Source organism: Homo sapiens, chromosome 1 (assembly GCF_000001405.40).
Source record: "Homo sapiens chromosome 1, GRCh38.p14 Primary Assembly".
Taxonomy (NCBI): Eukaryota; Metazoa; Chordata; class Mammalia; order Primates; family Hominidae; genus Homo; species Homo sapiens.
In genome coordinates, this window is record NC_000001.11 from 158,537,200 (window position 1) to 158,560,460 (window position 23,261).

The 23,261-nt window shown below is 36.0% G+C and overlaps 1 protein-coding gene across 2 annotated transcripts; it reads right to left on the minus strand.

Annotated features, from left to right (window-relative positions):
* Positions 1-7,350: 7,350 nt before the first annotated feature.
* OR6Y1 (olfactory receptor family 6 subfamily Y member 1) lies at positions 7,351-17,206 on the minus strand. 2 transcript variants are annotated; one of them, NM_001386050.1, is made up of 2 exons: positions 17,067-17,206; positions 7,351-10,912 (listed from the first exon to the last, which is right to left on the minus strand). In NM_001386050.1, exon 2 carries the CDS (start codon positions 10,904-10,906, stop codon positions 9,929-9,931), a length of 978 nt encoding a protein of 325 aa, NP_001372979.1. In that variant the 5' UTR covers positions 10,907-10,912; positions 17,067-17,206; the 3' UTR covers positions 7,351-9,928. The 2 variants fall into 2 exon arrangements, with proteins under 2 accessions (NP_001372979.1, NP_001005189.1); NM_001005189.2 differs by having other exon boundaries at positions 7,351-12,338.
* Positions 17,207-23,261: the final 6,055 nt, after the last annotated feature.

Genomic DNA, 23,261 nt, shown 5'->3' on the forward strand with positions numbered 1-23,261 from the left:
TCCCTGAGAGCAAAAACTGTCTTTATGTGGAAGAGAGAACCACACAAAAGAATGCTGGTTCAATATCCTCTATGTCTTCCCTTCTTGGGAATTTGAACCAAGCAGTATTTTTTTTTCAGACATAGACAAATTGGCATTTTAAGGATTTCTGAAGGTAAAGATTCAAGATGTTTTTCAAGAGCGCACAGGTATAGATTATATGTCAGCATTCTGAAATGGTTTCCAGGGTTATGAAAAAAAATCTCTGCCTTGATCATTTAGGGCCTAGATTTTTAGTGATAGAGTAGGACTATTTGTGAGGACATGGAACGACACAGTATCAGGGCTGAGTAGGATTTAGTTTAAGCTTTCAATCTAAGATAAAATGACAGGTCTAGAGAAGTGTGGGGTGGTTAGTTGTCAGGCTCTGAATGTAGGCATTATCTTAGGTCACAAATTTTGTCTCTCTGCCTTTCTCTCTCTCTCATCTCTCATCTGTCTAGTTTATTATTTTTAAGCATACAATTTCAGCAGTTTTCACTGTTTGCAAAGTTCTGCAAGTGTCATAATTATTTAATTCCAGAACATTTTTATCATCCTCTAAAGAAACCTCATACTGATAAGCAGCCACTCCCCACTGCCCTCTCTCCCTACACTCAGCCCTAGGCAATCACAAATTTACTTTCGGTATCGAAAGATTTGCTTATTCTGAACATTTCATAAAAATTGAATCATACAATATTTGGTTTTCTGTGTTTTGCCAATTTTACTTACTATAATGTTTCAAGGATCATTTATGTTGCATCATATGTCAGTGCTTAATTTATTTTATGGTTATATCATACTTTGTTCATTTGTTCATTGTTCATGGATACTTGGCTTGTTTTCATTTTTAGCTATTATAGATAATGCTGTTATAAACACTTGTGTTTAAGATTTTTGTGTACTTGTGTTTTCAATTCCCTTGGGTAAACCTAGCAGGAAAATTACAGGGTAAACTAATTTTTTGAAGAATTGCCATGCTGTTTTCCAAAGCAGCTGTACCATTTTATATTCTCATCAAGATTACAAGAGAGTTCCAATTTCCCCACATCCTCACTGACGCTTGTTACTATCTTTCTTTCTTTTTTCTTTAGTTGTAACATCCCTAGTGGATGTGCAGTGTATCTTATTGTGGTTTCGATTTCAATTTGTTCAAAATTAATTGAGTATACATGTAAAGGTTTATTTCTGAACTCTCAATTCTATTCAAGTGATTTATATGTCTATCCTGAAGTCAGTACCATGCTATCTTGATTACCATAGCTTCACAGTAAATTGCTAAACTGAAAAATGTAATTTGTTCAACTTTATTCTTCTTTACCCCCAATTTTTGGCTATTTTCTGTCTCTTTCATTTCCACACACACTTTACGATCATTTTGTCAATTTCTGCAAAAAACCAGCTGGTATTTTTGTAAAAAGTGTCTTGAATCTGTATATGAATTTGGGGACTACTGCCATCTATTAACAGTTCTCCGATTCATGAATATAAAATATCTTTGAATTTAAGTTTTCTTTAATTTCTTTAACCGGTGTTTTACAGTTTTTAGTGTATAAGTTGTATTTATTTTGTTAAATTTATTCTTATGTATTTTATTCTTTTTGATGCTATTGTAAATGAAATTGTTTTCTTAATTTCATTTTGGATTGTTCATTGTTAGAGAAATACAACTGATTTTTGTGTATTGACCTTGCAACCTGCAATATTGCTGAAATCAGTTATTAGTTCTAACATTTGTGTATGTGTGTGTGTGTTTGTGTGTGTGTATGTATTGCTTAGGTTTATCTATACACAAGATCATGTCACTTGCAAATGCAGGTAGTTTTAATTCTCCCTGTGTAGAACCTCTGATGCAATGTTGAATGGAAGTAGTGAAAGCAGACATCTTTGTTCCTAACCTTAGGGGTAAAACATCCAGTTTTTTACCAGAAAGCATGATGTTAGCTGTGGATACTCCATAAATGCCCTTTGTCAGACTGAAGAAGTTCCCTTACTGTTCTAGTTTGAGTGTGTGTGTGTGTGTGTGTGTGTGTGTGTGTATGTGTTTTAATTAGGAAGTGGTGTGGGATTTTGTCCAATACATTTTCTGCATCTACTGAGATTATCATGTGATTTTTGTCCTTTATCTTATTATCATATATTACATAGATTGATTTTTATATGTTGAAGCATTCTTGCATCCACTTGTCATGGTATATAAGGCTTCTTATTTGTTGCTAGATTTAGTTTATTAGTATTTTATTGAAGATTTTTGTGTCTATATGCGAAAAAAAAAGGAAACAAATTGCCGTATAGTTTTATTGTCTTGTGATGTTGTAATGTATTTTTCTGGTTTTATTATCAGGTGATATTGGTCTCATAGAATGAGGTGGAACGTATTCTCTCTGCTTCTCCTTTTTGAAAGTTTGTGGAAGTTTAAAATTAATAATTCTTTGAGTGCTGCTAAGATTTGCCATGAAGCCATCTGGTCCTAGTTTTTTATAAATTATGAATTCAATAATTTTCTGGTTATATGTCTATTTGTATTTTCTATTTATTCCTGAGTTAGTTTCAGTAGTTTGTGTATTTCTAGAAATTTGTCTACTTCATCCAGGTTAGCTAGTTTGTTAATACAAATTGTTCATAATATTCCCTTATAATCCTTTTTATTTTTGTAGGTCAGTAGTGAGGTCTTCTTTTTTATTTCTGATTTTGGTAATTTGCATTTCTCTCTCTCCCCTTTTTTGGTCAGTCTAGCTAAAGATTTGTCAATTTTGTTGATGCTCTTAAAGAACCAACTTTTGAGCTTGTCAATTTTCTCTATTGTTTTTTATTCCCAGTTTTCTTCTTTCTCTGGCTTTGGACTTAGTTTGTTCTTATTCTTTGTAATTTTATAAGGTAGAATGGCAAGTTATTAATTTGAGATATCCCTTATTTTTAATATAGGTATTTTCATCTACAAATTCACCCCAGGCACTGTATTAGCTGCATGTCATATATTTTGTCATATATTTTGAGTTTCATTTTTATTAATCTTCAAGTATTTTTAAATTTCCCATTTGCTTTCTTTTTTGATTCATTAGTTATTTGGGAGCATGTAGTTTAACTTCCACATATTTGTACAATTTTCTATTTTTCTTTTGTTATTGATTTCTAGCTTTATTCTATTATGAATTAGAGAACATATTTTATATGATTTCCATGCTTTTTAATTTATTGCGTCTTGTTTTATGTCCTAGGTCTGTCTTCAAGTACGTCCCATGTACAGTTGAGAAAATTTATGTTTTGTTTTGCTGGAGTATTCTACAGATGTCTAAGTGTGTTTAGTTTATAGTGTTTCACTTTTATATATCCTTGCTGTTTTATTGTTTGTTTGTTCTATCAGTTATTGAAGTGGGGTATTGAAACCTTTGTCTATTATTGTTGTATTGTCTTTTTCCACTTCAATATTGCCAGTTTTCAATTCATATATTTTAAGACTCTGTTGTTTGATGAATGTATGCTTACATTTGTTAAGTCCTTTTGATAGATTGAATCTTTTGTCATTATAAAATATCCTACTTTATCTCTAAAAACAATTTTTGTCTTAAAGTCTATTTAGTCTGATATTAACATAATCACTACTGCTCTCTTTTGGTTACTGTTTCAAGTGGTATAGCTTTTCCATCTTTTTACTTTTAACTAACTTTTGTCTTTGAGTCTGAAATACATCTCTTGTGGAAAGCATGTAGCTGGATGTTTTAATCATTCTTATTAATTCTATTGTTGAGAGGCTCTTTTTACCCTAGGATTATGAGGATGACTAACCACACAACACTCAGTGCGTTCTGTTAATTTCTGTTTCGAATTGATATTTAGATTGAAATATCAATCAATTTATATTACTTATAAGACAGATTTATATCTGACATTTTGCTATTTGTTTTCTATATATCTTATGTCTTCTCATTCCTCAATTGCTACATTTTTTGCAATAAATAGATGTTTTATTGTGTATACCTTGAATTTCTTTGTCATTTCTTTTACTATATATATTTTTAGTTATACACAGTGTTTGACCTGGGGATTGCAATTAGTTTCTTAATTCACAACAATCTGTTTCAGATTGATATCAATTTAATTTCAATTGTATTCAAAGTATTTGCTTCTATATATCTCTCCTCCTCTTTGCTTTGTATTCTTATTATCATATCGGTTATGTCTTTATTTATGATAAGCCCATCAACACAGGCTCTTGAAATTTTGATTATTATGCCTCTAGATATAGATTTCTTTAAGTTTATACTATGTAAAGTTTGTTGAGCTTCTTGCATATACTTGGGTATACAGATTTGTGCTTTTATCAAATCTGGAAAGCTTTTGCTTATTTATCCAGGTATTCATTCTTCCTCTTTATCTCTCTCATCTCCTTCTAGAACGTCATTATGTATCTATTGGTCTGCTTGATGGTGTCCCGTGGGTCTCTAGGTGTATTAGTAGTCTGTTCTTGCACTGCTATAAAGAAATACCTGGGTAATTTATTTTAAAAAAGGTTTAATTGGTTCATGGTTCTACAGGCTGTACAGGAAGCATAGAGGTTTCTGCGCAGCTTCTGGGGAGGCCTCAGGAAACTTTCAGTCATGGCAGAAGGCAAAGAGGAAGCAGACAAGACTTACATGTCCTGAGCCAGAGAAAATGAGATCAAAGTAGGAGGTGCCACACACTTTTAAACAACCAGATCTCATAAGAACTCTATCAAGAGAACAGCACTAGGGGGATGGTGCTAGACTATTAGAAACCATCCCCATGATCCAATCACCTCCCACTAGGCTCCACTTCCATCATTACAATTCAACATGAGATTTGGGCAGGGACACAGATCCAATTCACATCACTGGGGTTCTGTTCATTTTTCTTCATTCTTTTTTTCTCTTTTTCCCAGACTAGACAATTTCAATTGTCCTCAAGTTTGCAGATTTTTTTTTTGCCATTTCATATTTAATGTTGAGACTCTAGTAAAATTTTTATTTCAGTTATTGGATTTTAAATCAGGAATTTCTATTTGATTCTTTTTTATAATTTTTCTCCATTGATATTTTCTTTTTTAAAAAAAATTTATAATTTTACATATATATATATATATATATATATATATATTTTTTTTTTTTTTTTTAGACAGTCTCAATCTGTCGCCCAGGCTGGAATGCAGTGGCGTGACCTCAGCTCACTGCAAACTTCATCTCCCGGGTTCAAGTGGTTCTTCTGCCTCAGCCTGCCAAGTAGCTGGGATTACAGACATGCGCCACCACACCCAGCTAATTTTTGTATCTTTAGTAGGGATGAGGTTTCACTATGTTGGCCCGACTGGTCTCAAACTCCTGACCTCAAGTGATCCACCTGCCTCGGCCTCCCAAAGTGTTGGGATTGCAGGCGTGAACCACCATGCCCAGCCTCTCTATTGACATTTTCTACATGGTGAGACATTGTTCTTATGTTTTCCTTAGTTCTTTAGAAATAATATGTCTAATTCTTTAAACTATTTGCAATAGCTCATTTAAAAGATTTATCTAGTAACGTTCATGTTTGGATTTCCTAAGGGACAGTTTCTACTTACTACTTTATCTTTCTGTGCACAGGCCATAATTTCTAGTCTATTTGCATTTTGAAAAGTTGATTTTGACAATTTTTGCCAGTGTTATTGCTTCTTATATGAAAGAATGAATTTTCAGAGGTTCTTAATCCATCATTCTATTTTTAAAAATATTTTATTTTATTTTAAGTTCTGGGATACATGTGCAGGATGTGCAGGTTTGTTGTATAAATGTGTGCCTGGTGGTTTACTGAACCTATCAACTCATCACCTAGGTATTAAGCCCAGTATGTATTAGCTATTTTTCCTAATGCTTTCCCTCACCCAGTCTCCACCCTCCACCGTCAGGCCCCCGTGTGTGTTGTCATATCTGGGAGGAGGGGCCTCTACACATCCCCATTCTCTTTTTCTTCTCTTTGGGAACTGACAAGTCACAAGAGGTTAAAACATTAGGGGAGAACTGAAGGTGTCTGACTATGCCAGTTCATTGGGTACAGAGAAGTCTGTCTAATTGGAGGGTTTAGTGTTCCTCCAACTTAGCCATAAACACTAATAAAGATAGTTTTTTTTTTTTTTTTTGAGACAGGGTTTCACTCTGTCACCCAGGCTAGAGTGCAGTGGTGAGATCACAACTCACTGCACCCCTACCATCCTGGCTCAAGCGATTCTCCCACCTCAGCCCCACTATCCTCGCTCAAGCAATTCTCCCACCTCTGCTTCCCAGGTATCTGGGACCACAGGCGTACACCACCACACCCACCTAATTTTATAATTATTGTAGAGATAAGGTCTTGCTACTTTGCCCAGGCTGAACTCAAATTCCTAGGCTCAAGGGATCCTCCTCCTTTGGCCTCCCAAAGTGCTGGGATCACAGGCATGAGCCACAAAGTCTGTCCAAAGATGAGATTTTGATTTTCATTCTGTTGTCTGATTTGTTTTACTTCTCAAGTGGCTTAAGAACATGGTCAGGCATAAGAGTAGTGATATATGGCTTCATAAAACCCCCAACATAGTATCAGTTACAATCAGGTACTACAGATTACTGAATTTTTATAATCAATGTAATTTAAATGAAGGAAATGTATTCAAGAAAAACAAAAACAAGAGGACATGTTTTCTTTTCCCTCATTGGTTAATATTTTTGGTGAATAGTAATTATAGAGTTAATACATGTTCATTATAGAACTTTTATAAAATACAGGTAATTATAAAGTAAGCCATAACTCTGGAGAAAATAATTTGAAAGTATCACTTAAAATCTCTCTAGAATTTTTTTACATACACACATACACACTTATCTTTCTATCATTAATTATATCTTTATTAATATAGTTGTTCATAATATCAAACTATGCTACAATTTTATATTCTACCTTTTAATTTAATATTATAATTATTTTGTACCATTGTTTTCTTTCAAAATATGACTTGCAATATCTGTATAGTATTCCCTTTCATAGGTAAACCATACTTTACTTAAATATTCCAGTTATTTGGAAAATGTACATGCTTTTAAAATTAAATATGCTTAATTGAATATGTGTGTGCATATAGCTTCATAAATTATAACCCTAATACACACTCCTATATTTGAAATTATAGAGACAAGGGAACTATTTCTAAATTGACTTCCAGAGTTTGAAATAACTTATATAACCACAGGCAGTATTATACAATTTCTTATGTCACTTATGTGATGGGTAATATCTCACATAAATAACCAATTAAAATTTTTGGGTATCTTAATCTTGTCTAAATTTTAATTTTTTAATTTAACTTTTATTTTAAGTTCAGGGGTACATGTGTAGGTTTATTATATAGGTAATCTTGTATTATGGGGGTTTGTTGTACAGATTATTTTGTCACCCAGGTATCAAGCCTATTACCCATTAGTTATTTCTCCTGATCCTCTACCTCCTCCCACCCTGCACCCTCTAATGGGCCCCTACTGTGTTCCCTACTGTGTGTCCAAGAGTTCTCATCATTTAGCTCCTACTTACAAGTGAGAATATGTGGTATTTGGTTTTCTGTTCTTGCATTAGTTTGCTAAAGGTGATGGCCTCCAGTCCCATCCATGTTCCCGGAAAGGACATGATCTAATTTTTTTTTATGGCTGCATAGTATTTCATGTTGTATATGTAGCACATTTTCTTTATCCAGTCTATTATTGATGGGCATTGTGGTTGGTTCCATGTCTTCGCTATTGTAAATAGTGCTGCAATAAACATACATGTGCATGTGTCTTTATAGTAGAATGATTTATATTCCTTTAGGTATATACCCAGTAATGGGATTGCTGGGTCAAATGGTATTTCTGTTTTTAAGTCTTTGAGGAATCGTTACACTGTCTTTTACATAGATTGAACTAATATACACTCCCAACAACATTGAATACGTGTTCCTTTTTCTCCACAACCTCACCAGCATCTGTTATTTTTTTACATTTTAGTAATAGCCATTTGGAGTGGTGTTAGATGGTAACAAAATTAGACGTTACTTCACACCAGTTAGAATGGCTATTATTATGGACACAGGAACATCACACTCCGGGGAATGTTGTGGGTGGGGGGAGGGGGGAGGGATAGCATTAGGAGATATACCTAATGCTAAATGATGAGTTAATGGGTGCAGCACACCAACATGTCACATGTATACATATGTAACAAACCTGCACGTTGTGCACATGTACCCTAAAACTTAAAGTATAATAATAATAAAATAAAATAAAATAAAATAAAACCACTCATTGTGGATTCGATTTTCATTTCTCTAATGATCAGTGAGCCTTTTTTTCATATGATTGTTGGCTGCATGTATGTTTTCTTTTGAAAAGTGTCTGTTCACATCCTTTGCCCACTTTTAAATGGAGTTGTTTGTTTTCATCTTGTAAATATGTTTAAGTTCCTTATAGATGCTGAATATTAGACCTTTGTCAGTTGTATGGTTTGCCAAAAATGTTTTCATTCTGTAGGTTGTTTGTTCACTCTGTTGATAATTTCTTTTGCTGTGCAGAAGCTTGTCAGTTTAATTACATCCCATTTGTCAATTTTTGTTTTTTAATATCTTTTTAAAAATTGCTGAGGTTTATTGGCTCCAGTATTAGTTTCCTAGGGCTGCCATTAAAAAGTACCAAATACTGTCTCAGTATTTTTGATCTTAGGAATCACAAATAAAGTACTTGGGAGGGCCATACTCTCTCTCTCTCTTTCAGCTCTAGGCTAACATCCTTCCTTGCTGCTTCTAGCTTCTGGTGTTTGCCAGCAATACTTCTTCCTTAGCTTATAGATGCATTACTGCAGAAACATGGTTGCTCTCTGCCCTGTGTGTGTGCACATTGTCTTTCCTCTGTGTGTGTCTGTGTCCAAATTTTTCCTTTTTATAATGACACCAGTCATATTGTCTTAGGGCCCACCCTAGCAGTCAAATTTTAGCTCGATTACCACTATAAAAACCCTACTTTCAAATATGGTCACATTCTGAGAGACTGGGGTTAGGACAACATACTTTTTTGGAGGGAGGGAGGAGTGGGACATAACTTTGCCCATAACAACTACCTATTTTTAAAATTATGTTTATATACTTAACTTGTTTTTCCATTGAGAGTTTAATTTTTATAAGTTTATTTTAAAGTGTTTTTTAATATTTAAGGTTGGTATATGTTATTATAACATTAATAATAAAAATTAGTAATAGTTTTCACTTTGTTATTTGGTATAAACTTAATCTTTTGTTTTTAAACGCCTTAACAAATTAGTCATTTATGTTATTTGGAGGGAAGTGGGTGGGGACTCCCTATGTTGACCAGGCTGGGCCCAAGTTCCTGGACTCAGGGGATCCTCCTGCCTCAGTCTCTTGAGTAGCTGGGACTACAGGTATGTGCCACTGTGCCTAACAGGCATTAATTTATGTTGAACTTTTTCTTTTACTTCTACAATATAGAGTGTTTAAAAACCCTTTTCTAACCATCTGAGAGATGAACGATGGTTTTATTCTTTATATTTAATTGTTTGTCCTGTATGGCATTTATTTTGATAAGTTGTGTGGAAAAAGTATTCATCTTCCTCCTTTCCTCCCTCCTACCACCCACTCTCTCTGTCTCTCTCTCTGTGTTTCTTCCTGATTTCAAATAGCTTTTCTAACATTTTAAAACTTGTCTCTCAGCCTGATACCAGAGGTTACTTCTTGAGAACATGTTTCTCCAGTCATGATTGTGTATACACACACACACACATGCACACACACACAGAGGAGAGCAGTGTTACAGTACTGGAGATTGGGGGATAACCAAAGACAAGACTGAGGGGGAAAGTGTGTAGTGATCATCTCTCAGTTCAAGCCTGAAAGGAATCTATACATTTTTTAACTACTGAAAGCCCCATTTCCCTGGGGCCCACTTCCTCTGCAATGTATGGTCTTTCTGAGGGCTGCCTTTACTTCATGGTTCCTCAGACAGTAAATGATGGGGTTGAGGAGTGGAACAATGACAGTGTAGAGAACAGATACCACTTTGTTGGAATTGTAGGCATACATGAGTTTGGGACGGGCATAGGTGAAAAGTGTCATGGAATAGAAGAGAATTACGACGGTCAGGTGGGAGGCACAGGTGGAGAATGCCTTTTGGCGGCCCTGAGCAGAAGGGATCCTGAGGATGGTGGCAAGGATAGCAGCGTAGGATGCCACCACAACACAAAGAGGAATAGCAATGACCATGAGGGCCAAGAAGAAGTCCACCATCTCAGCCTGTGAGGCATCCTCACAGGAGACGTTAAGGAGTGGAGAGATATCACAAAAGTAGTGATTGATCTGAGGCATGCCACAGTAGTGAAGTTGTGCTATAAAAACCATCTTAATCATGGCAGTCATGAGTCCACAGAACCAGCATCCTCCAGCCAGTGTGCCACAGAGCTGGTTGGTCATGATGACTGGGTAGCGTAGTGGATTACAAATGGCTACATAGCGGTCAAAGGCCATGATAGCAAGAAGGATGTACTCAGTGCAGACAAAGGTCACAAAAAAGTAAAGTTGAGTCATGCAGCCATTGAAGGAAATACTCTTGTCATGACTGAGGAAGTCAACAAGCATCTTGGGGCTGATGACTGTGACATACCACATCTCCAGGAAGGAGAGGTGGCTCAAGAAGAAGTACATGGGCTTATGCAGCTGCCCATCACTGTGGATAGCTAAGATGATAAGAAGATTCTCCAGCAGTGTCAGCAGATAGGTTGCCAGGAAAATGGAGAAAAAGAGAAGCTGGAAGGCTGGTCGTGTTGGAAACCCCAGAAGAATGAAACGTGTTGTCACTGTATGATTATCTACTTCCAGAATTATGGTGGTCATGACTGGCTGTGGGCACAGACAAAGTCAGTTCCTTCCATGACACAAGCACTAGTCTATGGTTATTTGTATTGATAGAGCCCACCACCAGCAAATTTATCACAATAGGAGGTTTCTGCTTTTTTATCTTACTGCCTCTTGAATTATGAAGAGAACCAAAGCTTTTGAGAAAAGATGGAATTTAGGGAGCTTATATTTTAACTTGTTTTCAGATTTTCTCAAGAGCAGTAACTTGTCCAAGGTCATACAAAATAGAGTTTATAACTTTCTAAATCCCAGTTCTGTGCTTTACCAATATATCACTTTTGGGCACATAAATGGTCTCCAGACCACCCTTTCACTACAGGCAAAACATCCCCATCTGCTGAATATGGAGAAGAGAAAGAAGGCCCAACTACCCATTCTCTAGGGGCAATTTGGGTGACTCTGGAGTGGTTGCATGACCCCACTTATCTGTAAAATGGAGAGAACGTTCTTGCTTGTGTCTAACAATGTGCTTAAGCTTGAATGAAGCAATAGTTGAGCATACCCACAGGATTAACAGCAAAATCAGGTTTGATGCAATTATTCACCAGCTTTTCAGAGAACAAAATTGAATGGATAACATGAAGGGTAATAGTTTCTTCAATACAATCCATTGTATAAAGTGCTTGCTTAGGAGTTTGACAAAAGTGCATTCAAATCCAACTTTTGTCTTTGTATAGCTAAGTGAGAGTACCACATAATCTTTTAGAATATTAGTTACTTTATTTCTAAAATGGGGATAATACAATGGGGTTCACATTTTGTGAACATCAAATGGGATTTAGAGTTTAAATTCAGTTCCTATGATATTTGCTGTGACCTTTCCAGGCTACTTTACTTACCCCACATACATAGCTCCTCCTCCTTTTAAAAAAACACACACTCCACCCCACACAAAGTTTCCCCCACCCCAACTTCAACCCCTGCCAAAAACAGCAAAAAACTGGTGCAAACAGCAGCCATTGTTAATGAAAAAAGGGAGAGGACCGTGGGACTTTTCCAAGGGTAATAAATTTAAAAACTGTAATCTGTTGGGAGTAATATCAGAGAAAACAAGCAAGAATTCTATTAGTGACTCTTCTGCATTTCTGTTCATTAATTTAGCAAAATGTGTGACCTCTTTTTGTGTTAGGCTGATAATCATTCCCAAACCCATTGATACTAAACACCTTCCCATTTCAAGTCTTGCTCTGTGTCCTATTGCTTCAATTCTCTTTTCTGCTCTTCTCCAGAGCCACAGTCACTCTTGATCCCCATTTCTCAACAGCTCTATTTTATGGCATAAATATGTAGGACAACTAGGGGATGGTTTTTTTTTTTTTTTAAGGAATGATCATGAGGTTGCAGAGCCAGAAAACTACTGCCCATACTATCCATTTCCTCTTCCCACTTAGATTTCAGCTTTAGATTCCTGAAAGAAAGGCAGAATAGAAAGGCAGGATTATTCCTTCTGAGAGAGGGAAATGGACACAGATAACCCAGAAAAGGCAAAGAATATATAACAGTGTAAATGCAAATAATTTTCTTTTCTGTTGGAATATAGTTCCTGAGAAACACATGCACAAACACAAACACACACACAGTCAACACAAAACTTGTCCTTGCTCATTGCAGCTTGGTATTCACTAGGCAGTGTGAGAGTGGGACTTACAAGCAAGGCAAGGTTTATGAATCCTCCTTATCTTTTTCTTCATCCTGATTTAAAAAAATATCTTTGAGTCCAAAAATTCAAACCAACTTAAAATCTATTTGTGAAGAGTGTAGGCCAGTCTCCATCTTGCTCTCTCTTACTATATCACCACCATTTTCAATGAATTGATGAAATGAACATGTTTCTAGCTATTGAGGGTAGTATTACTGTTTGGGAGGCACTTTCTTGGTCCATAGTGATAGGATACCAGTCTCCAGAGCCATGTCCTTGGGCTTAATCTTTGTGTCTATTTTTTAAAAATATTCTGGAAAACTACAGGCAAGACATTATACCCTAATGTCCTCTTTTCTTGGAATCACCCACAGTGTCCTGTAGAAGATGCCTAGCCTAAAAAGCATGGTTAGAATAATTCTACTAATTAATGTAACATATTCTCCATTCCTTTGCAATAGATATTGTCATTCTTGGGTAGCTGCTTCAGACATGAAGCTGGAAATAAAAACATCTAATTTAATTTTAAGAATAAGAATAAGTAAATAAAGTGGGGATATTTTCACAGAACTATGCATTCATTCATTCTTCTTCTAATTCCAGCAGAGTCCAGATGAAGCTCCACAAAGTAAAAATACAAGGAAATAAAAAGGAAAGTGAGTATACAGTATATATAAAGAACATCTGATTAAGCAGCTTTATCATTTGAGCATGGAATTTAGCTTTGAGGTCCCTAGCAGTCAAGCAGAAGAGGAAAACAATTCAAAGCACAATATGCTGACATTCAAGTTTCAAAATTATTCACACATATGTATATATAGAATTATATTTTGATAAGTGTTAAAGTTAATGTATAAAGAGGTAGAGTGCTTTATCAACAGGCACATGCATTGTAGATATAGTAAGGTGTCTAGATTCCTAATTTCTAGGGCTAGATTGTCTGAGTCACATCCCAGTGCCTTCTCAGACTGTTTAGACAGTCCATTGGGCAGGCTTGTGAGGAAGAGAGCAAGGTTCACATAGTTAACAGCCTTCCCTCCAGTGGAAGTTTTATAGCAACTGGATTCTGAGGAGGCTATGCTGAATATATGGAATCATCTTTACTGCCAGATGATAACTCACATTTGTGTATGTGAAAGCACATTCACATCATTCTATCTGATGTTCACCATCATGGAATTAGCACCAATGTCACAGTGCTGACTTGACCCAAAGATATTAAATGTCTAGCTTAATGGTACACAGCTAAATTGCTTAATGGCAGAATTGAAATTAAACAGCAAATTTATTTTTTATAATCCACTGATTTTTGTGTATGAGTATGTAGAGGATGATCTATGAATTGGGTGAGGCTTTTTTTTTTTCTTCTGAGAATTAAATTGTACCTTTAAAAATAGTTTTAATGGCACTCTATGCAAGGAATGAAAATTTAAGGAGAATCAAAGGGCCAGGCTGAGAGCCAAGAGTCAGTTGAAGGTTCCGGTACTCTGAATCTCAAACATATTACCTAGCAGCAGGTTAAACCATCTCACTTTTTCTTGTAGCCAACTCTCAGTCACACATTGTGGACTTGTCTCATGAAATAATAGCATTTTAAAATCAGCGGTATTTTAATTCAAAGTTCTTTTTTTTCCTCAGATAAGGAAATCCCAGAGTGATTTAAGTGATTTTCTCTAAGTTTAAACAACTATATAGTGGCAGAGTAGCAATTTATTAATGATTACATTTTAGTCCCTATCAAGCTTTAACCCCCAATTGTCTTATACAATTCATTCAATTTAATTCCTTCTGTTATCTTACACACTTCATTCAAATTATTTACTTATCTGACCCGATTCTCAAGAAGGACAAATCATCTCAAGTTTTAGCCTGATTTAAATAGAATCATAAAAGTTAGTGCGAGTCTTACAACTATGATTTTCTCAAAAAATATATATATTTTAGCTTTCACAATTGCTTGTCCATTGTAGTGATTACACACACACACACACACACACAAACACACATTGCTAAACAAGTAGAATGAGATCCTTCAGCTCTAGAAACACAGGATTGTAGGACTGCAAAGAACCTGAGAGGTAATATGATTTAGCTCCCTATCACATTTTGTGAATCACCAATGTATAGACACAAGTATTCACCCAGACTTTGCCTGATTTTTTCCAGGAATGGAAATCCAGTATCTATAAAACTAGCCATACTTTAAATAAGAGAAACTTTTGATTTGGGAGATGGAACACTTTCTCTTCTGAAACCCAATGCACCCACATTCAGGGGTCCTGGTTCTGTTTCTGAAAGTAAGTCTCGTCTCGTTCTCAAAGGATAGACTTCACTGTTTGAAAATAGCTGTAAGGTCCATTAAACCTCCAATTGCCCCCCTCATCACCCCCATTACCCCTGTCTCATAATGTCTTTCTTTTTTAGATTAAGCCACTCAATTTACATATATGTATGTATGGAGATATATATATGTATATATATATATATATATATGGCCAGTTTATCGGTTCCCTAAAGTTTGTGATCATCCTCTTTGGATGATTCCAGCTTAACTGGGACATTTAATGGGGACAAATATCATCAGGCTATGGAAAATACAATTGGAATTTAAGGCTTAGTTTCACTCTGGAATCAGAGGATAAGAATATCTTCTTTTTCCCCTTGAGCCTTCCACCAGAGAGGACCAAGAGGCTCTCTTTCTGATTTCCCAGGGAGGGTGGATATGACCTTTCCCACAGCTAGTGGGCAATGAGCCCAGGATAATAATGGGTCTAGGAAATGACCTACTCTGTTGTTTGTGGGAAAATGAGGTATAGGGAAGAAAACGTATATGGTCAAATTGCTCCTGGTAATGGAGGCATTTTAAAAATTGCCATACAAGCTCTGTGGGGATTGGTTTGGCCAAACTGAGGGTCTCAGAAGTCTTCAAAAATGGAACATAGGTAGTGAAAGAAGTAACAAAGCAATCACTTGTGCTCAATCTAGTCTTCTACTAATTCCTGCAGGGAGGTGAGAAAAAAAAGTGTAGGTTAGCCAGAGGTGGACATTGAGGGTCTTGGACCCTCAATAGGCATTTTCTAAAGGGTAGGAACACATTCTTACTCCTTCAAATCAGTTTTAAAGGGATACAATTCTAATCCAGCTCCTTTTTCCCAGGCCTTTTCAGGAACGAATATGCTTCAGGGTGATATGTGTAACAGCCCCTAGGTTTCTGGTAGGACAGAATGCCTTGCTGCTATGTAGTAAGCCCCTCTGCACCTCTCCGTTTCTACTGTGAGTTGGCTTTGAAGACTTTAGTGAAAAAATATCTATTTCATATCCCTGATCCTCTATACTTTATAACTTTCCAAAACCATGACTTGTATTTTGAAATAATTTAATTTCCAACTAGGTCCTTTGGGAAAAGTGGCTTAATTTCTATGGGTCTCACTTGGGTATGATTAATCTTTGCAGTTTATTTCAGGATTTCAAGTTGAAAATAAATGTGGTCACATAATGTGATGCATTTTTTTGCTCTATGGGAATTTTTCTTGCTCTATGGCACTATCACTAGAAGTGAAATTCTAGTGTTCTATAGCACTGTAGGATGACTGTAGTTAACAATAATATGATACATAGTTTCAAATAGCTAGATATTTGAAGGAGGATACTGAATGTTCCCAACACTAAGCAATTGTCAATGTTTGAGATGATGAATATGCTAATTACTCTGATCTGATCATGGTTCATTATATGGATCAAAATACCACTATATACCCCGCAAATACGTACAATTATATATATATACATATTAATTAAAAATAAAAGAAAAAATGTAGCAGGAATAATATTATAAGCCATCTGATCCTCCAGACATCATTTTGTTTGTCAGTCCCTGCTCTTATTTAACATAAAACACACATGCTTACTCACATACCTATGTTCTACCCACCACTTCTCGCATACATGTATTCATTCATCTACACTGGTCCATTCATTTCATCCTCTACTCCATTTTCTCTTTTTTTGTCCCTTATGTCAGAGTAGATTTGGAATCTGTGCTTTGAAAGGCAGAGTTGGGCAGATGCATTAATTTGAGGCATCTTCAGAACAAACCTTTGGGAAATTTTCATTCTCAGGCTTATTTCACCTAGAGTAAGTTATCACAGTAGAGTCTTAAAATGACATGAGAATCCATATTACACTACATTTCTGAATCCTTAACATATTTCATATGGCTAGACATACATAGATGCTGAAAAAAATCTTTGTTGAACTGGAACTAATCTATATATATACTAAATTCCTCTCCATCTATAACTTGTTGTATCACTACGCATTATAGGCTTAAAGATGACAAACTATCTTTAAAAATCAATAAAATAAAATTTTGGATGAATCAGTAATTTACATACAATTTATCTTCCATTATTCCCTACTTTCCTTCATAAAAATAAATAATTAAAAGATGGCTAAATTCCCCTTTGGAAATATCTGAGAGTCTTTTTTTCAACTCACCATTTTCTCAGGAATATAACCCTTTTCCCACCTAGCTTTATCAAAGATGGCCAGCTTGCGCTGAGAAAAGAGAAGAAATCATGTAGACCAAGAGAAGAACAATGTACATAAGCCTAGAGAGTTTCTGGGCAAGTCTGGTTCTGTCTCTGCTTGAAGAAGGCACAGAATGGAGCTATTTGTGCTTCTGCCTGCTTTCAAGCTACTGGAGGAGACAAACCAACTCACTTCTATTCACAAGGGACCTCCCAAGAGGCACAGCCTTCAGGAACATATTTGGCCTTTCCAGGGCTCAAGGGGATCCTGGGAGGATATTAAGGAAGAGCTAGCAAGCTAAGTGGAGTCTCCAGGCACAAAAGAGACCTTAGACTGGCTGGAAGTACTCTGCCTGTCCTCCCCAACGAGACTTGGGAAGAGGAAGGTGGCGAGGGGAAATGTGTGTGCGTGTGTGTGTGTCCTCTTTCTGAGGAACAATCTCACAAATAATAAGGTCTTCCAGAAAAAGACAGTGCTATAACCCAAGTAATTCAGAAAATAAAAATGATAAGTACACTTCCTTATTCGGGAACCCAAGTGTATGAGCACATGCACATTTGCAAACTCCAAACACACTCAGATATTGTGCTTATAAGTATACACAAAAGTAACTGTAATGCATCAGTAACTCAGTAGATGTGAATGATGAATACACTGCATTCAGATGATATCTGTATTTTTTTAAAAAGTAGAACATGCTATGTATTTACTCTTTTTTTTTTTTTGAGACGGTATCTCGCTCTGTCACCCAGGCTAGAGTGCAGTGGCGCGATCTCGGCTTACTGCAAGCTCTGTCTCCCGGATTCATGCCATTCTCCTGCCTCAGCCTCCCGAGTAGCTGGGACTACAGGCACCTGCCACCATACCTGGTTAATTTTTTTTGTATTTTTAGTAGAGACAGGGTTTCACTGTGTTAGCCAGGAGGGTCTCGATCTCTTGACCTTGTGATCCTCCTGCCTCGGCCTCCCAAAGTGCCAGGATTACAGGTGTGAGCCACTGCTCCCGGCCTGTATTTACTCTTATTATCTACAACTAGTACACATTCAGAAGCATACAGATACTCAGAGAACACAAATGACAATAAGATTATATGGAAAATAAACTGGCATGGAAAAAGGACAGTTATCTCTTTAGGTATGTATGTTGCTTCCTGGGTTTGGATACCTGCACATCCAGGATAATTAGCTTTAGAACCACAGACCCAGGACTATAGTAGGAAGTGAGCAGGCTCTGTTGGGTTTTGATATGCACTACTATGAAGGATATTGATCATTGTAGGAGACTGTGCTTTTCTGGAGTTGGGAAAGATGAGAACTAGCCAAAAAAGAATAACAACTCCCAATAAAAAATTAAGTTCTTTATTTTAAAATAACAGAATTCCCCTAAGGAAAATAACAAAACCCGTCAGATTCCAAAAGGCCTAGTTCATATTTTTAGGAGTAACCACTCTTTACTCCTCACCGTTTTTCAATTTGATAAAAAATTTAAAAAGGAAAATTTTTCCCATAGAAAACTGGAATAACACTTCATTTATTTCCAGGCAGTCTCTTAGCTCATTACTGGTTCTGTGGTGATATTCTGTGTTACCATTCTATAGGAACCTGACCATTCATTCAATAAATATGTATTGAGTATCTTCTAAGTGTCAGGAGCCATTCTGGTCACATGTCACTACTCTTTTCAAATAGTTTTACTGTAATAGTTTTATTTAGCCCTTAGGAATTTGATGATAGACTTCAAGAACAAGAACCTCTTCTGATAACAGAGGAGTTTCAAACTGAGTGGTATTAAACCTGTGTCCTATTTGCTATTACCTAAAGTTCAGTAAATAGGAAACATAGGTTTAATACCACTCAGTTTTAATTCCATTCTCTTGAAATAAGGAAAACATGATACAGATAATTAAAAATTGATGCGAAACGTAAAAGAAAGAGGACATGGGTTTCAAGTCAGCAAAACATGGATTTGTATTGCTTTTTGTCAGCTCTTGGATGTAAGTAAGTTCTCAAACCTCTGGAAGTATTACATTCTTCATCTTTAAAAGGTGATACATCAAACCAAAGGTTAATCTTGAGTACCAGCTCCGAGTAAAGACTCTGCAGCTAGAGTGCCATGGTTCAAATCCTGGCTCATCCGTGTCCTATTACATGACCTTGGGCAAATTATTTTGTCTCTCAGTTTTTTTTTTAAATTGGAAAAATAAAACAATAAGAGTACTTATCTCTTAGAATTATTGTGATGATGGTATGGATTATATATGTAAGCTGTTTAGAATAACACTTGCCATGCAAATACATGTTTTTATGTGTGAGTATTTGTATTATGTCAAGCAAATAGAAGGTGTTCAGAAAAATTAATTTAATTTCCAATTTCCTTTATAAGTTACTTGCACATGAACATAAGAATTTTTGCCATTTGTGAAATTTTTAATATATTTGAAAGAAACAATGAAGCTGTTTCTGACTAAGTGACTCATGAGTTAACTGGCTTCTTCATCAAGAGATCATCTCATTTTTCCAGTTTTCATGTGAAAGTAGAGACAGAACCCACTGTATGCTACTTCTTAAATAAGTTCTGTTAACTTAATTTGTAAAATTTGATGAAATATAGAATGACTGAGACTCTTAAAAATTATTTAAAAATTACTGAACTAAGGATTCTCAAGGAGAGAGACTTCTCCCAAGTCATTGCTTTTCACTGCAATGTCTGGTACATAGTAGGCACCTAAAATATCTGCTCAATGAGGAAATGAGCTGAGTCCCATTCTATTTAAATGAATAAAAATGTGTAACTTTAGTGGAGAGGAAAATAAGGAATCGCAGAAGCTCCTGGCTGATTAAGTACTATTGTGAGGAGATTTGTAGAAAAAAATATTACTATCTTAGATCTTTTAAAAAAATCTTCCTAACTAGTATTGTGAACTGAGGAATGAATACAAAGAAAACATGGTCTTTTCTTGGTTTATAATCATTTCTCAATACAAAAATATGTAGTTAGAACTATGAGTGCTTAAAATGAAAAAAAAAATCTGAGTTTGTTATTATTTTCTGTCAAGAAATCATTTTAAAAGTTAATATTAAAAAACAATAGATAGACTACATCTACGAGTAGAGTGACAAAAAGCACATGCGTATACATTGTAAGAAGTTTGGCTCTGAGGAAATATTCAGAATGATTATGCATTTATCTTTGATGAGAAGAAAGAGGGTAATTTTTAAATGAGTAAGTTAAAATTTACTAGGGACCTATTTTTCTTTTGTGTTAGTATTTGGTAATTCTTTCCGAAAATTGTAAAGTTTCTATATTCTCTCTAAAGTCACAAAAATTTAGAAGCAGATAATCATGTCTTGTGTCTTCTATAAAGTGTCTTGTAAATAAAAAACACAAAATTTTTATTTTCTTTTTAAATTCAAGCACATTTTAGTCAATTGGATGAATAGTGCTGCTATTTTAAAAAAGATTAATTTCATTCAAAAAATCATGATACCGCGTTTTCCACAATGTGTTTATTTCACATTGCATGCCTGTGTCAAAACAGCTCATGTGTCCCATAAATATATACAACTACTACGCACTCAATTTTTTAAAAAACAAATGAGATGGCCAAAAAAATAATAAATAAATAAATCATGATAAACTTCACTGCATGCTACTTTACTGTTCCCTCTCTGTTACCTTTATCTGGTGAAAAGCTGGCTGCACTGAGTACAAATTAAGAACCTTAAAAAAATAACAAAACAAAATCAAGTAAAATAAAATAAAACAAAGCAAAGTGCATCAAAATAAAATAAAACAGCCTCAGTAGTAGTTACTGGAATTGCAGATATCAAGTCTGGAAAAAAATAACCTGCTTTTCTCTGGCTAGGCTTTTGAATTGCAACATTAAGGAGACAGTAACTATAACACCTGATAGAAATGGTTCGTTGTTGTTGCGTAGAATAAGAGAAGACAACACTTCAAAATGACTATTTGTTTTCATTTTCACTCATCTTATGGGGAACTAACTTATCGACCTTTTTCACCTTTCCAGTTTCTTCAAATGTCGAACAACCGTAGAATGGTCGACATTAAGTTCTTTGGCAACTTCTCATGTAGTTGTAAAGGATCAGCTTCGATGATTGCTCTCACTTCGTTGTTGTCAACTTCTGATGGCCAGCCACTATGCTCCTCATCTTCAAGGCTCTCGTCTCCTTTGCAAAACTTCTTTTTTTTTTTTTTTTTTTTGAGACGGAGTTTCGCTCTGTCGCCCAGGCTGGAGTGCAGTGGCGCGATCTCGACTCACTGCAAGCTCCGCCTCCCGGGTTCACGCCATTCTCCTGCCTCAGCCTCCTGTGTAGCTGGGACTACAGGCACGCGCCACCATGCCCGGCTAATTTTTGTATTTTTAGTAGAGACGGGGTTTCACCGTGTTAGCCAGGATGGTCTCGATCTCCTGACCTCGTGATCCGCCCGTCTCGGCCTCCCAAAGTGCTGGGATTACAGGCGTGAGCCACCGCGCCCGGCCAAAACTTCTTGAACCACTGCTGCACTGTACATTCGTTAGCAGTTCCTGGGCCAAATGCATTGTGACTTGTGAAGAAAAGTGGATTTTATATAACAACTGGCCACAACCAGCTCAGTGGTTGGATAGAGAAGAAGCTCCAAAGCATTTCTCAAAGCCAAATTTGCACCATGAAAAGGTCATGGTCACTGTTTGGTGGTTTGCTGCCGGTCTGATCCACCACAGCTTTCTGAATCCCAGCAAAACCATTACATCTGAGAAGTATGCTCAGCAAACCGATGAGATGCAGCAAAAGCTGCAACACCTTTAGCTGGCATTGGTCAACAGAAAGCCCAATTCTCCACCACAACGTCCAAATGCATGTCACATTACCAATGCTTCAAAAGTTGAATGAATTGGGCTATGAAGCTTTGGCTTATCCACCACATTCACCTGACCTGTCACCAAACAACTATCACTTCTTCAAGCATCTTGACAACTTTTTGCTGGAAAAACACTTCCACAATCAGCAGGATGCAGAAAATGCTTTCCAAGAGTTCATCAAACCCTGAAGCATGGAATAAACAAATATATTTCTCATTGGCAAAAATGTGTTGGTTGTAATGGTTCCTATTTTGGTTAATAAAGATGTGTTTGAGCCTAGTTGTAATGGTTTAAAATTCACAGTCCAGAACCACAATTCCTTTTGCACCAACCTAGTTCAATTTTTCAGCCATACTACTAAACACCCATGATTTTTATATAGTTCTGCATCTCTAGCCTTAGTGTGTTGAACTTTCCTCCCATATTTATTACCTTCTAGATGGCTGCTGGAATTCCAGCCATCAAATCCAGGTTCAGAAAAGGAAAAGGGGCAGTGCTAGCATGAGCACCAGCCACCTCTTTCTCTCTAAAAGATAACCTCTCCAGCAGAATTCCACTTATGTTTTATTGGGAAAATATTAGATACATAGCCAGTCTTAGTTTCAAGAGAAGCTGAGATATCAACTGTATGGCAGAGATGTAGGTTTATTGCCTGGGTCAGGCATGTTTTCAGCTTCAAAAAATTAGGTTATCGTAGCAATGAAAAATGAGGTCACTTTTGGCCAGGCAACCAAAAAACAACCACTTATTTTCTTAACTGAAACTGAGTTGCAAATAAGAACCATTTGCAAAGCATGTTTTATATTAAAAGCACTGTTGTTGGAGTAAAATAGAATATTTGAAGAAATCTATGAAGTAAGTAGTTAGAAACCCATCAACACCAATTAATGCACTATGGGAAGCTCTCACAGTGGAGGAATAATAAATCCAAAGCACTGTGATCTTCCAATGGGAAAAAATATGACAATGACATCATGAGAGTCATAGAAATAGCATGTTTTAATCATTTTTTAAAGGAGGAACTTCACTGACTCAATCTGATGACATCTTGGCCCAATTTTAGATTGTATAATTGGGAATGCTAAACTTTCTGATCAACTTGTTACCTACTCCGCATAGTTACAAAGTTGCTTGGAGCTTTCCTTTCTATATGTGTCTTAGAGAAAGCCAATTCTCCAATCTCAGTTTGAGTAAGAGTGAGTTTAATACATGATTAATGGAACAGGCATATCCTTTAGAAAGCATATCGTGATATTTGTAATGATAAAATGATAATAATGATGGAGCTTGGCATTTAT

What these genes read in the sequence shown, in the direction of transcription:
- OR6Y1 (NM_001386050.1), bottom strand. Translation starts at nt 10,906, where the DNA reads ATGACCACCATAATTCTGGAAGTAGATAATCATACAGTGACAACACGT.